Source organism: Homo sapiens, chromosome 19 (genome assembly GCF_000001405.40).
Source record: "Homo sapiens chromosome 19, GRCh38.p14 Primary Assembly".
NCBI lineage: Eukaryota > Metazoa > Chordata > Mammalia > Primates > Hominidae > Homo > Homo sapiens.
In genome coordinates this window covers 51,531,691-51,547,296 of record NC_000019.10, presented here as the reverse complement: position 1 = coordinate 51,547,296, position 15,606 = coordinate 51,531,691, and the positions used below count along the sequence as shown (strand labels likewise).

Below are 15,606 nucleotides of genomic sequence, written 5' to 3'. Positions count from 1 at the left end.
AATGAGTGGAGGGGGGGCAGTAATTAGTGGGGGGACCCAGTCCATCCCTGGGTCACCCGAGTCAGGAATGAGGAGTCAGGCAGAGTGAGAAAGAAAAGCACACGGCAACTGGCAGTACCTCTCAGGGAATCGGGTGTGGTTACTTTAAGTTCATGGGTAAATATCTGTGGTTCCCTTAAAGGTAGCAGCAGAAAAAGCAGGAAGGCAAGTCTGCTTTTACAGGAGAGATGCCGCTGGTTCTTTTATTTACCTATTGTTTTTTGTAGAGATGAGGTCCCTCTATATTACCCAGGCTGTCTTGAACTCCACTCAAGAGATCGACCCGCTCAGCCTCCCAAAGTGCTGGGGTTGGTTGAAGGGCATGAGTCACTGTGCCTGTCTAAGTTCTTATCTCTGGCCACCAGCTTGAGCCATTTGAGTGTGGTTTAGAACTGGAAGTTGTTAAGGATGACTGAGCCCCGCTTCTGGTATTTCAAAAGGACACTGAGGTCGCATGCAATTCTAAGAATTCACTACATTACTCTCTCCTTGAAGGCATGGTTCTTCCTTACCGAACAATCGCAACAGCTTTCTCTCTAGGCCCTTAGCCTGCAGTCTGGCCTTGGAGGGATCTATCTGACATGTATATATTATGGTGACCCTTTTCTGCATGAGAACCTTCCATGACTCCCTATTGTCCTTGGAGAAAGCTCAAGCCCATCATTGTTTCTGTCTTCCAGGACTACTTGAGTTAGTTGAGCGTCAGGAATGATGCAAATCTGTCTCTTTTACTTTTGTTTGAGAATGAATGCACACATGGAATGAATGAAGTGTTGCTGCTCTTACCTCACGTGGACCCTTTCATGCCTCTGGTGCTGATCTCTAGGAGACTGACCTCTGTGGGGGTCCCACGCCTGTGATTCATGGGGAACTGGCCAGGTGGCACCTGTTTCTCCAGTCACTTGTGCACAAGTCCAGGAGGCAGGACTTGGGGACTCCGGTCCTTCGTTGCTGCCTTACTTAGGGCAAGCCTCTTGCCTTGTCTGAGCAACATGCAGAAATGGAACTCAGTTTTCTTAAAGAGTTAATTACAATGGACTCATTGTGTGTCTGAAGTTCCCTTTACTGGGCTGGTCACCTCTTGTTCTCACCACAAGCTTCCTCTGCTGTCCCACACCTGTAGCTTTCCCTTCCCTTTCAGAGAGGTCTGCCCCTGGGTATGAGGCAGAGATGCCACTGCTGCTGACCCTGCATAGGCTGCGGGGACAGCAGCCCCCACTCAGGAGGCTCCAGAGCCCAAGGCTTAGTCTTTTCCTCACTCCAGGGCTCCTGGCTTAGGTTCTGGAACAGCTGCAGTTCCAGGAACCTGTGATGGTGCAGAAGGGCCTGTGTGTCCTCAGGCTGCAGAAATTTCCCTACTCCTGGACTTACTATGGAACCCTCCACCTGTGCTGGTTCCAGAAAGGGGTGGATGTAGACCACAATCCTCCAGTGACCAGGACAAATGCTTCATGGCAGGACCCAGGACCAATTCCTCCTGCCCAGGGACCTCAAGACCAGCAACTTCTCCCTGAGCATCAGAGGCACACACGGGGACTCTTTTTTTCTTTTCTTTTCTTTTTTTTTTTTTTTTTTTGGGATGGAGTCTCACTTTATCACCAGGCTGGAGTGCAGTTGCACAATCTTGGCTCACTGCAACCTCCGTCTCCCGGGTTCAAGAGATTCTCCTGCCTCAGCCTCCCAAGCAGCTGGGATTATAGGCACCCGTCACCATGCCCTGCTAATTTTTGTATTTTTAGTAGCGACAGGGTTTCACCATGTTGGCCAGGATAGTCTCAATCTCTTGACCTCATGATCTGCCCGCCTCGGCCTCCCAAAGTGCTGGGATTGCAGGGATAAGCCACTGCGCCCAGCCCACACGGACTCTTCAGAAAGGAGAAACCATTCAGGAAACATTCATATCTTGTAGGATGCTCTCTTGGAATATGACAAGTATGTTAAAAGCCCAGACACCAGAAATAAAGCAATGAAGGTTCTGCTCCTTCTAGAGGTGGTGGCATGCCGACAGCGTGAAAGGACCCTGGGGTGGGCTGATAACACTCAGAGGGTCCCCAAGCTCCTCTCTCTCCTCACCAGCCCTGACCCACAAGCCCAACATTTTCATCCCAGGGATTCTGGGGTACCAGTCACACCAGGAACCTTACCTGCTATGTGTTCTGGGCCTGTGAATGGGAGGAGCCCCCTCCACATTCTTCTGAATGGGGGTCTCCCTGTTGCATCTGGGCTCCAGGACCTTCGGCTCCTCAGTGCTCACGATCACCCCATGGCCCCAGGACCACAGCACCAACCTCACCTGGCAGGTGAAGTTCCCTGGAGCTGGTGTGACTACAGAGAGAACCATCCAGCTCAGTGTCTCCTGTGAGTGCTGGGGCCAGGATGCCTGGGTTCCTGAGGGTGTAGGGGGTAGAGGAGGGTCAGGGCAGGGGACACTTTGTGGCTATGTCCTGGAGGCCTGGCTGAGCAGGGGAACTAGAAGGACACAAGCTCTGTCTTTTGACATTCCTGTGGCTTCTGGGGTAGGGGAGGAGTACCTACTTTTACCTCATCTCCACCCCAAAGAAAGGGAAATTCTCTCTTCCTGTTCTAGATGCTCTAAGGAACCCAAGGATTGGTGTCTCTCTAGGAGACGGCACAGGTAGGACAGAGCCCCCTCCCTGGGGCTGAGGGAGCAGGGCCTGCAGCTTGGGGCAGGGCTGGGCTACTGCTTCTTCCTGGACTCAACTTCGTAACCTGAGACCCTCTTGTAAGTGAAACAGAGGTCTTCCCCATCGTTAGTCTCCAAGGCCACCTGAGCACCTGTCCCCATCCTCCCCTCACTCCCCTTGGCCTCTTCCACACACAACTCCCACTGGCCCCATAACAAGGGCAGGGTGCCATTCACATAGCAGATCCAGGCTTTGAGTCCCCACCTGCTGAATACTCCTCTTCCCTCATCTTCTTATTCTCCCCAGTAGTCCTGATCTAAGTTCTTCTGAACAGATGATATAGTCACATGGGTGAGAATTCAGAGTGCACAGTAGAATCTACCCTCAGACACCCGTCCCCTTCCCCAGAATCCGCCAGTGTCTGTCCTGGCTGCGCTGCGCCTTGATTTGCTTGCCCGAAGGATCTCAGTGATGGTTTAACATCAGTAGTGACATCAGAGTGACATTACTCTCCTCCAGTACTGTGGGTGATTCCACTGTGTGGATGGACTCCAATTTCGTGGCATCAAAAATGTGGACTCTGATTTTGTGCCTAATGGAATATCATGGCACTAATTTTATCTTACCAACAGTAACACTGCAATAAATAATCTTGTATCTACTGCCACAAGTGTACATCTATGCCTGTGAAATCAGTTCTTAAATGCAAAATAGTTGGGTCATATGTTCTTTCTAATTTTGAAAAAATATGGCCATGGAGAACCCATGAAGGTGAACAAGGTTACACGCGCAACAGGGAGGGGTAAAAGTGTATGTATTCACCTACCCATTGTGGGGCAAAACTTTTTTTTTTATTTTTTGAGATAGAGTCTCACTCTGTTGCCCAGGCTGGACTGCAGTGGTGTGATCTTGGCTCACTGCAACCTCTGCCTCCCAGGTTCAAGCAATTCTTGTGCCTCAGCCTCCCTAGCAGCTGGGATTACAGGCATGTGCCACCACACCCAGGTAATTTCTTTTGTATTTTTAGTAGAGACAGGGTTTTGCTATGTTGGCCAAGCTGGTCTTGAACTCCTGGCCTCAAGTGATCTGCCCACCTCAGCATCCCAAAGTGCTGGGATACAGGTGTGAGCCACTGCTCCCAGCCGGGGCAAAACTTTTTGAAATCAGGGCCTGTGGTGGAGGTGGTCTTGGTGGCTGTCGGGGAGGCGGCTGTGAAGATCCTGCCTATCTGCCTCTGCTTCCTCTTCCTCAGCTGAGCGCTGCCCCAGGGACCAAGGAGAGATGTGGGGAGTACAGGGGACATGGTGCTGAATCCCAGGTCCCAGTGCTGGAGGAATCTGAAGGCTCAAGAGGGCCAGGCAGTAGGCTGAATTGTGGCGAGAATTCCACATGGACCAATTGTTGTCTGACCTCGGCTTTCACTGAATGTCCGGGCTGGGAGGTTCCTGCTCTCATTAGGGAGGTTCTGGGGGCTAGGCCTGCTCTCTCCACCCCAGTCCCCTCCTGCCCCTTAGCAGGGCACGGGGAGATGAGTCTGCTGCCCTCTGCACCCCGATCCGGCCACACTGGCAGGCCTTTGTCTTTTTACTCACTGTCAGTTTCTGCAGGAAGGAAGGGCAGCAGCAGGCGTGGAGGCTGCAGACCCTGTCACGGGCTAATCTCTCAGGGGTTGTGGGCATCTCATCCTCAACATCCCACTGGACACCTCCCCCTCAATGGCCTCCAGGATTGCTCTGCTCAGTATGGCTTAAGTTGAGCTGCCCATCTTCTTCCCCCAACCCACTTCTCCTGGGATCCCCATCCTACTGATGACATAGTGGCTCCCATCTCTAAAGTCAGAACCAGGATATGGGTCTTCACCTTCACCTCCCTCCCTCCTCCAGATCCCACAAATCACTAATTCTTGTCCCTCCTTCTAAGCAGGGTTCATCCTGGGGCCCTTTTCTCCATCTTGGCCCTGGTCATGCCTGGGGCCTCGCCTCCTCCCTGAACACTGAGCCCTCCTCACCTCCTGCCTCCATCTCTCCCAACACAGACTCCAGACTCCGTTTCCAGATGCCTCCTCATCCAGTTCCTCCACAGTCTGAGCAGCCGTGTTTCCTCTCTGGTGCTGGAGAACAAGGGGAAAATGCCACAGCCTGGAATGGAGGCCTTGCACAGTCTGTTCCTGGCCAGACTCTCCACCCAAAGTCTCTGCAGGCCAAGCCCTCTGTGGCTCTGAGACTTTGCGTGTGTAATTCCTTCTCCTGAAATGCCCTTCCCTCCCATTCCTGCCAATCTAGGTCCCAATTGTCCTTCAGGCTCAGTCTTAATGTCACTCAGGGTTGTGTGTGTGTTGTGTGCATGTGTGTGTGTATGTGTGTGTGTGTAATTCTTATTTGGTTCTGAGTGGAGCAGAGGCATTATTGGTGATAGACACGAAGCGACTAACTTCAGTGACTCTACTGAGCATCCATTATGTGTCAGCATTATTATTGGCACCAGGGGTTCATCAGTAGACACAGCACGAAAAAAATCTCTGTCTTCAAGAAGCTATCATTCTAGAGACAGGAAAAGTACAAATGAAAAGAAATAATAAATAAAATAAGAGCATGTGGGGTGGAGATCTGTGTTTGGAGAAAAAGCATGCAGGGAAAGAAACATAAGATAGACTGGGGAACCGTTTCTTATCTGATAATGAGGGGAGGTGGTGTGTGAGCAAAGGCATGAAGGTGCTGAGCAGGGAGGCTCTGTGTCTGAATGAGAGACAAGCATCCCAGCAAGAGGGAAGGGGAGCAGTGAGTGCATTGCTCAGAGGCAGCAGCAGGCCTGGGCATTGCAGACACAGCCAGAGCCCCAGTCTGAGAGCAGAAGGAGGCAGAGGAGGGAGCAGCGGGGATGACAGGGCAGCCTGCGTGGGGCCCTGAGGCTACGCAGGAACCTGGAGCCTTTGGAGAGAGCAGAGGCTTGACTGGACTCTCACTCTAACAGGACCCTCAGCTGCTCTGGTCAGAGCAGAACCGCGTGTGTCACGGCAGCCAAGGAGGCTGGGAAGGTGCTGCTGGGTCATCCAGGAGGAGGCATGGGGCTGAGCCAGGGAGGCAGGATGGGGTAAGGATGTGTTTTTGGATGTGAGTGGAAGGTCAGGCTCACAGAATTTTCTAATGAGTGTTGTCAGGGAGGGGAAGGGAAGAGCAAGGATGGGGCCAGAATGTTCCTCTGAGCACCTGGAAGGAAAGAGCTGTGTCCATGGAGGACTGCAGACGGGTGGCTTTCAGGGGCGATGATAATTCTGAGAATCCCCCTGACATCTGAATGGGGATAGGAGGGAGACAGCTGAATGCAAATGTCTGGAGCTCAGGAGAGGGGTCCAGGATGGAGATGTTTCAATGCACAGCTGGAGTAAAGTGATGACCACAGATGAGGAGAGACAGGGGTGAGGACAGACGGAGAAGTGGGCACCTTTGTCACTCATGATCTTTGCAACGGCAGGTTTTTTTGTTTATTAATTCCAAAAATTTATTTGGATTCCATCTGGAGTTTTAAAATTTTATTTGTTTATTATATTTTTTAGAAGGTTCTTACTTTGTTGCCCAGGTGGGAGTGTGGTGGCTTTTCATAGGTATGATTGTCATAGCCCACTGTAGCCTGGAATTCCTGGGCTCAAGCTATCCTCCTTCACAGCCGCCTCTTGAATAGTGGGAACAGCAGGTACCCGCCATCGTGCCTGGTGCCTTTGGATTTTTCAAAGCAATATTTCCAGCCTTATTGAGGTGTAATTAAAAATAAATATTGTATTTATTTACAGCATACAATGTGATGTTTTGTGGACATTTCCTTTGTGTTTTATCATTATTCTATTTTAATAGACAAATAAAATTGTGTATATTTATGATATGTAACATAATGCTTTAAAATATGTGTACATTGTGTAATGAAGAAATAAGCTAATATATGCATTGCCATCTCACACTTATCAACCCCTTTGCACTTTAAAGTAACACCTTATACTCATCAAAAGGATTGCTTTGTATCCAGCAATATTTGTTTTGTTTTGTGATGAGAACATTGGAAATTTACTATCTTAGCAGTATTGAAATATATGATACAGTATTATTAGCTATAGTCACCATGCAGTACAGGAGATTTCCAGATTCCTCTTGTCTACCTGAAACTTGGTACCCTCTGACTAACATCTCTTCATTGTCTCCAACCTCCACCCCTGATCACCAGGGTTCTAGCCTCTGCTTTTATGAAATTGACTTCTACAGATTCCTCATATAAGCAGAATCGAAGTATTTGCCTTTCCGTGCCTGGCTTATTTCACTTGGCATATTGTCCTCCAGGTTCATCCATGTTGTTGCAAGTGACAAAATTTTCTTTCTTTTCAAAGCTGAATAATATTCTCTTGCGTATACATGCCACATTTTCTTTATCCATTCACCCATTGATGGACACTTAGGTTGATTCCATATCTTGACTATTGTGGATAGTACTTTGGTAAACATGGGAGTACAAATGTCTCTTTTGTTTTCTTTCAATAGATACCCATAAATGGGATTTCTGGATCATATGGTAGTTCCATTTTTAATTTTGGGAGGACAAACCTCCTGCTTTCCATAATGGCTGTGCTAACGTACAGTCCCATTAATAGTGTACAAAGTGACCCAAAGTGTTTTTAATGAAATTATGAGATTTACTAGCCTGCTGGCACAAGAACCTGTTTTTCTGTTAACAATGCACACTTTTCCTTAAATAAGAGAATAAATGGAAAGTTTGAGCATATGAAATGACTTTTGTATATTGTTGAAATCTCAGTAATTCAGTTTCTGAGTATATGCAGCCTATCTTTGTATGTTGGACAAACACTGGTTGGCAAACTGGCATAGGTCAGAAAAAGTGCCCAGATGCAACGTTAAATATTCACGTAGGGTCTGTCTCCTGCTCTAAACTAAAACCCAGTTGAAGGCAGTGTCTTAACCCATTAAATTATTTTTATTAAACTGAGCAATTTAGATAAAGATATAAGTTAGAAATTAAAATTAAGCTGATAGATCTAATAATAATAATACGTATACCTGCCTTTCCTTTTATTGATAATTATTGGAAGGAATAAGGAAATATCTTTAGGTATATTAAAAATATGTGTTGCTAATTTTAAAAATTCACATCTCTAGTACAGAGATAATGCACACAAAACTTTGTTGAGGAGATTGAACATGGATCAAAGTTATGACTAAGAGTTTTGTTTGTTTTCCTCATGAAAATGACCTAATTTATTCTTGGTGAGAAATCTCTAGTAGAAATGATGCTTCTTACAGGCCGGGCAAGCTTATGGTACAAATATCCAAAAATTTTAATTTTAAGGTATGAGGGATTTTGTTTTCACTGTTATGTCAAAATGTTTCTCTCACTGGAACTCTTTTAGGCAAAATAAATTCCAAATTAAACTATAAAATTATACCTAATAAAGTTCATTAAAGAAACATAATGAGAAATCACAACTTCATATTTAACCTTCCAGTCTATGAGCATGATATAACTTTATTTACTATTAAAACAAATTTCGTTGAATTTTCTATTATGTGCCACATTTTTACTTAAAAGATAATCTAGGACAGGTATTATACTTATTGGTGGCTCAATTACTTATATATCAAATAAAGGTAAAACTAGCTCTCTTATTTTAGTAAGGATGAATGAATATTTATCTAGATACTACTGTGTTTAAAAATTGTTCAAATAAGGGTAGTGTAGTTCAAGACGACTAACTAGAAGCATTTCATGCCTGCCTCCTCCACTTAGAAGAACCAGAGTAATGTATAGACAGTCACAGTCGAATTACATTATCCAAGGGAAAATCCTGGAATCCACCAGAGAAGTGGCAGAGGACATCAAAAACAGGGAAGGAGAAGGAAAAGAGGCAGCCTCCCTGGCTGGGATTGGCTGGGAGCTGGGAGTGACTTCCCATGCACAAAGGACTGAGTTAGGGATTTCCAGTCATCCACATCTCCATGGCGGAATTCAGCAATCCTGGCCAAGGGAGAAGCACTCAACCCTATGAAACTAACATAGAGAGTCAGGACACCATTGGACAGAACTACTCCGGGAAGGGAACTCCTGCTGGGTTCCACACCTTTCTGACACTTAAGCATTTTCAAGCTTGTCCTCTGGAAATTGTATGCTGTTCAAGGACCCAGAGACACTGAAACTGGGGCATTACAGAAACTCAAGCTATTGCTGCTGGGACAGGAGATCGAACCAGGAGTGCTCCTGCAGGTGGGGCTAGAAAGTGAGCAAGGTTTGGTCAGCTGTGGCTGTGAAGCAAGCACTGCCAGGATCTGAGACAAGGATGCAAGAGGGGCACAAATTGCCATTGGAACTTGTTTGCAAGCCAGATGGGAGCTCCAGCAACCAGGGTGAGGGGGGGTGTCGAGCCCCTCCAGGACTGGAGTGTGAAAGGGACATATGTTCTTCCGCCACCTTCAACTGACCCAGGCTATGACCACTCAAGATGGCCCTACCCTCTTCAGTAATCCTCTGCCTGGGACCCGACGATTGCTCTGACCCTGCCCACAATGACGAGTGCCTGCTGTCAACATTGAGGACCTGAGCACAAACCCATCTAGCTCAGCTTCACCTCACCTCTCCCGCTCTGAGACAGAGCACATAGCCCAGGGTCCTGCGGATTGCTCGACCCAATTCACTACCTTGGGCACCTGAGCACTTCTTCTGGGGGCTTGAGGTTGGATCTAAACTTCTGGCTGCTACTACCTTGCCTGGCGCCTACCTGCAAGTGCCAACTGTGGGTCCAAAGGCTGTCTTGTCCAGCCCATTGCAGCCAGCACCAACATTAATGCACATCACTTGGGACTCATAGAATCATCTTGCCCATGCTATTGCTATTGTCAATGCCATGCTGGCTGCCCAGGGGCCTGAAAACCCACACAATTGCTTGATCCATTGGTGCTACTATGAGCATCCAAATGAGCAACCTGAAAGCCCAAGAATCAACCCACTGGTAACTGCCAACAGAGAAGCCAGCATATACCACCCTGGGGCAAAAAGATAGATGCTCAGCCCACTGATGCCAAAGCTGGGGACCTGAAGACTCTCCCGCTCAGCATCCCTGTCCCTAGCACAACTTTACCATATTCTCCACTAATAACCATGCTCCAACTAGCCAAAGAAATCACACATATCACTAATGCTGTTTACAGTCAAAGAAATATACAGAAAGTACACTACTGCACATACACAGAATCAAAGCCAAAGCACCCCACCAAACAAGCAACGTAGATACATTTTCAAGAAATGTCTTCTATTCGGGACTGGCTCATATCTTTTTATCTAACTAGATGTCAGATCTTGAAATCCGTATTCTCAAAGCAATTCTGCCACTTGATCGTATTCTCAAGGGCCCTGATAGGCTCCTTTATAAGGACCAATTCTGTTCCTAGAGCTTAACTAGAATTAATTGTTCACTGAAAAAAAAAGTTAATTAAGAAAGCATTTCTTTCCTAATCTCACTCAAATCTGCAGAATTATTTGTAATTAATAATACAAAGGCTGGCCAAAAGGAGACTTGTAAATAGCGTAAAGTGGTGTCTTATACTAAACGGTGGAATGTTTAGGCAGAGAAGCTCTTTGAAATTGTCAGATGGGCTGGGCTCACAAGCCTGATTCAAACAGGCTGTCAGTCTCCTCTCTCCCCTTAACACTGTGCAGCCCAAACCCCTGGGACCCTTGAACATCTGAGCAGTTTTGTGCTTTGAGCCACTTTTTGATAAAAAAAAAGGCTCCATTTTTCCACATTGTGATTTTCTTAAAGTAGTTCAATGTTTTATAGTCTCATAGTAGTAGTGTTGCTTTCTAAGCTATAACAGTTGATTTTATTCTTCTACTCTGAAAAATCTTGACTTGTTTGAGTGTATATTATATATAAAGGGAGCCTTAATGGATTGGTTTTCATAATTTAATATTTTTTGTATTTGCCGTTGTATAATTGTTTTTAACAGAAAGCATTAAAGAATTGAGAGTGGAATTCTTAGAACCAAAGTTATTCTTAATAAAAATCACCACATGCTTGGACCATGAAAAAAAAAAGAAATGTCCTCTATGAAAGTAAATTAAAAAATAGGAAGAAGCTACTGTTATACTAGATGCACAGATTTTAACATAAGGACACAGGAAACATGAAACAGCAAGGAAAGGAACACAAGAATTCTGCAGAAATAGATCTTAATCACAAAGAAATTTTTGAAATTCCAGACAAAGAATTCAAAATATTGATGTTAAAGAAGCTCAGTGAGATACAACAGAATTCTGAAAATCAATACTATGGAAACCAGAAAAACAATTCAGGGTATAAATGAGAAAATGATCAAAGAGATATATATTTTTTAAAATAACCAAATATAAATTCTGGAACTGAATAGTTAATTGAAGGAAATGCAAAACACATTTGAAAAGTTCAATAATAGACTAAATCTGGCAGAAGAATCTTGGAACTTGAAGACAGGTTTTTTGAAATAATCTAGTCAGACAAAAATAAAGGGAAAAGTACAAAAAATAATGAGCATAGCCTTAATAACATTTAGGACAACAAAAAGCAATGGAATTTATAAATTACTGGTATCTCTAAGGGTGAAAAAACAAAGAAATATTGGAAAACCTACTCAGCAAAATAATACATGAAAACATCCCAAGTCTAACAAAAGATTTAGGTATAGAGATACAGAAGGCCCAATGATCCCCGGGCAGATCCCCAATGCAAAAGGTCTTCTCCTTGGCACATTATAGTCAGACTGTGTGAAGTCAAAGTTAAAGAGCAAATTCTACAAATAGCAAGAGAAAAGCATCTAGCTACCTCTAAAGGAAATTCCATTTGACTAAGAGCAGATTTCTCAGTAGAAACCTTACACACCAGAAAAGAAGGAACTGATATATTCTAAGTGCTAAAAGAAAAAATAACTGCCACCACAGAACATGCAAAGAAACTATTCTTCATAAATAAAAGAGAAATAGATTCATCCCAAGACAAACAAATGCTGATGAAATTTATTACCACTAGACCAGCCTTGGAAAAAATACTCAAAGGAGTCCTAAACCTGGAAGCAAAAGGATGATTTTATCATCACGAAAACATATGAAAGTAAAAAATTCACTGGTAAAGCAATCATGCAAATGAGAACTAGAAAGGACTCAAATGGTACCACTACAGAAATCCACCAAATCACAAGGACAAACAATAAGATAAAAGGAAAGAAACAACGAATGTTTAAAACAAGAAAATGTTTAATAACCTGACAGAAAGAAAGCCTCACAAATCAATAATAACCATGTATGTAAATGGATTAAAGTATCCTCTTAAAAGATATAGAATGGCTGAATGGATTTTAAAAATGACTCAACAGTGTGCAGCTTAAAGAAACACACCTTAAGAAAAGACACATATAGACCAAAAGTAAAAGGATGGAGAAAGATATTCCACACAAATGGAAACCAATAGTAAGCAGCAGTAACTATACTTAGATAAAACAGACCTTAGGTCAAGAGCAGTAGAAAAAGACAAAGAAGGTCATTATATAATGATGAAGGGATCAACCCAGCAAGAGGATATAACAATTCTAAATATATATGCACCCAGCAATGGAGCAGCCATATCTATAAAGCAAATATTACTAGATCTAAAGAGAGAGATAGAATGCAATACAATAATGGTGGGAAGCTTCACCACCCTATTCTCAGTAAGACAGATCACTTAGACAGAAAATCAACAAACAAACATCACATTTAAACTACACTATAGACCAAATGGAACTAACAGACTTTTACAGAACTTCTACCCAACAACTGCAGAATACATATTCTTTTCATCAGTACATGAAACATTCTCCAGGATACACCATATATTCGGCTACGAAATAAGTCTCTATAAATTAAAAAAAAAATCAATATTTACTCAATGTATACTCAGACCACAATGGAACAAAACAACAAGTCAGCACCAAGAGGAACTCTGGAAACAAGACAAATGTATGGAAATTAAACAATATGCTCTTAATGACCTACCAGGTGAAAATCTATACAGGAAAAACTAAAAAACACTGATGAAAGAAATTGAAGATGACACAAACAAATGGAAAAACATCCCATACTCATGACTGGAAGAATTAAGATAGTTAAGAAGCCCACACTGGTCTATAGCAATCTAAAGATTTAATGTAATCCATATGAAAATACCAATGTCAGTCTTCACAGAATTGTAAAAAACAATTATAAAATTCATATGGATCCAAAAAGAACCTGAATAGCCAAAGCTATCCGGAGAAAAAAGAACAAAGCTGGTGGTATCACTTTACCTGACTTCAAAGTATATTACAAGGCTATAATAACCAAAACAGCATGATATTGGTATAGAAATAGATACATAGACCAATGGAATATAACCCAGAAATAAGGCCACATGTATACAGCCAATTGATTGTCAACAAAACTGACAAGAACTTATATTGAGGAAAGGACACCTTCTTCAATAAATGGTGCTGGGAAAATTGTATACCCACACACAAAAGAATGAAACTGGATTCTTCTCTCTCACCATATTAAAAAAAAACTCAAAATGAATCATACACTTAAATGTAAGACCCAAAACTATAAAAAAAAAAAACAGCTACAAGAAAACCTAGGGAAAACTCTTTTGAACATTGGTCAGAAGAGTCAGAAATTATGACTAAGTTCTGAAAAGCACAGGCAACAAAAACAAAAATAAACAAATGGGACTTAATAAACAAAAAGCTTCTGCCAGGAAAAGAAATAATTAGAGTGAAGAAACAACCTGTTGAATTGGAGAAAATATTCGCAAACTATTCTTCTGACAGGAGACTAATATCCAGACTATACAAGGAACTCAAACAACTCAACAGGAAAAAGCAAATAATCCAAGTAAAAAGTGGGCAAAGGACAGGAATAGACAGTTCTCAAAGAATACATAAGAACAGCCAATACGACAAAATGGTCAGCGTCACTAATCATCAGAGAAGTGCACATCTAAACCAAAATGAGATACCGTCTTACCCAGTCAGAATGACTATTACTAAAAAAACAAAAAATAACAGATTTTGGCAAGGATGAGGAGAAAGATAACTCTTCTGTACTGTTGGTGGGAATTTAAACTAGTACAGCCACTTTTGAAAACACTATGGACATTTCTCAGGAACTAAAAATAGAATTACTATTCGATCACTCAAGCAATCCCACTACTGGGTATCTACCCGAAGGGAAAGAAAGAAATACATCAAAGAGATACCTGCATTCACATGATTTTTGCTGCACTATTCACAATATCAGAGATATGGAACCAACCTAAGTGTCAATTAACAGATGAATGGATAAAGAAAATATAGTATACATGCTATTTGGCCATAAAAAAGAATGAAATCGTGTCATTTGCAGCAACATGGATGGGACTAGAATTCATTATCTAAATTGAAATAAGTCAGACACAAAAAGACAAATGTTGCATGTTCTCACTTACATGTGGGAGCTAAAAAAATATTATCACATGGAGGTGGACAGTAGAAAGATAGACAACAGAGACTGGAAAGGGTCAGATGGGGGAGGACAGAAGATGAAGAGAAGTGAGTGAAGTGCTACAAACATACAGTTAAAAGGAATAAATTCAGCGTTAGAGAGCAGAATAGTGTGATTTTAGTTAACAAGAATGTATTGCACTCACGTGACGGACACTCTAAATATCCTGACATAATCATTACGCATTATATACATGCAAAAAAATTTTACATCTACTCCTTAAGTTTGTAGAAATAAAAAAATTTACAAATATATGGTGGCAAATTCTAATACCTCATAGGTATTAGAGATTTGCCAGATGCATACTGCACAGAGGAAAATAGAAAACCATGTGAGCTAGACCTAAAAATTTTAATTTTGTCAGGATATTCTGCTCACGTTGTCCAGAAATATGTCTTTTGTGCCACATTTAACTGTGAGAAGCAGATTTTTCACAGGAAAGAAATTGCTAATCTCTATGATGAGGACCTAAAAAAAAATCTCTCCAGTCCACACTGCACTGAGTGGCAACATTAATTCAAAAGAAGTTTCTTCTGCACTGCAGTTCATAAAATATGTGTCCTTTTTGATTTACATGAAGATGTTGCATGGTTCTTATTTTGGAGATGTCATTGAAATTTTGTAAATCAGCGTACTAGCTGTCAAGGAAAAACCTCCATACTCATGTTTTAAAAAATATCTGGCATTCTACTGTGTCACTTGGCAAACTCACCAGTGTCCACAGCTCTAAAGCTAGATAGTGAGGGTGTGTGCTGAGGATGGGAAGCTATGGATGGGGATCATCTCAAGGGTAGGGACCAGGTCCCTGGCATCTCTTCTCCAGCCCGACCTACATACAGATGCTCACTATGTCTTTGGTGAATGAATGAATGAATGAATGAATGAGTGAATGAATGAGTGGCTATCACCCACACTGCACCTGGGACCCTTCTTCCTTTCACTGTCCCAGACACTCCCACAGACCCTACAGAATCCTATATCCTGCAGGACTGACTTTCTCATGGCGTGGGATGAGGCTGTGACTCTCTGGGGCCAGGAGTGACCAGCTCCCAGGTGTAAACAGTGGTGCACAGAAAAGCACCTCAGGTGGGCAGGGCCTTGGACACAGGTTTCGCATTCCTCAGATGCCCCGGGAGGCCCTGGTCCGGGCTCTGTTGCTCACAGGAAGCCCCGAGGTGGGAGGCGGGACACAGTCTCTTCTCCTCTGCTCTTCTTTGGGCAGGTCTCTGGGTCTCAAAGTTTCCGTCTGCTCTGTGCAGAGGGAGTGGAGCTCCGAGGGCTTGTGGCTTCGCAGTTCCTCTTCTGTGAACAGCCGAGATCACGCGCTCCTCCCCAGCCACCCGTTCCT

At 43.4% G+C, this 15,606-nt stretch overlaps 1 pseudogene, besides 1 other annotated feature; it reads left to right on the top strand.

Moving 5' to 3' along the window:
• Positions 1,210-1,971, top strand: SIGLEC28P (sialic acid binding Ig like lectin 28, pseudogene; annotated as a pseudogene).
• Positions 1,236-1,285: an enhancer, noted in NCBI's record as "active region_15021". NCBI's record gives its function as "activates an Ori minimal core promoter by ATAC-STARR-seq in GM12878 lymphoblastoid cells {active_cell/tissue: GM12878}" and the evidence as "EXISTENCE:reporter gene assay evidence [ECO:0000049][PMID:35858748]".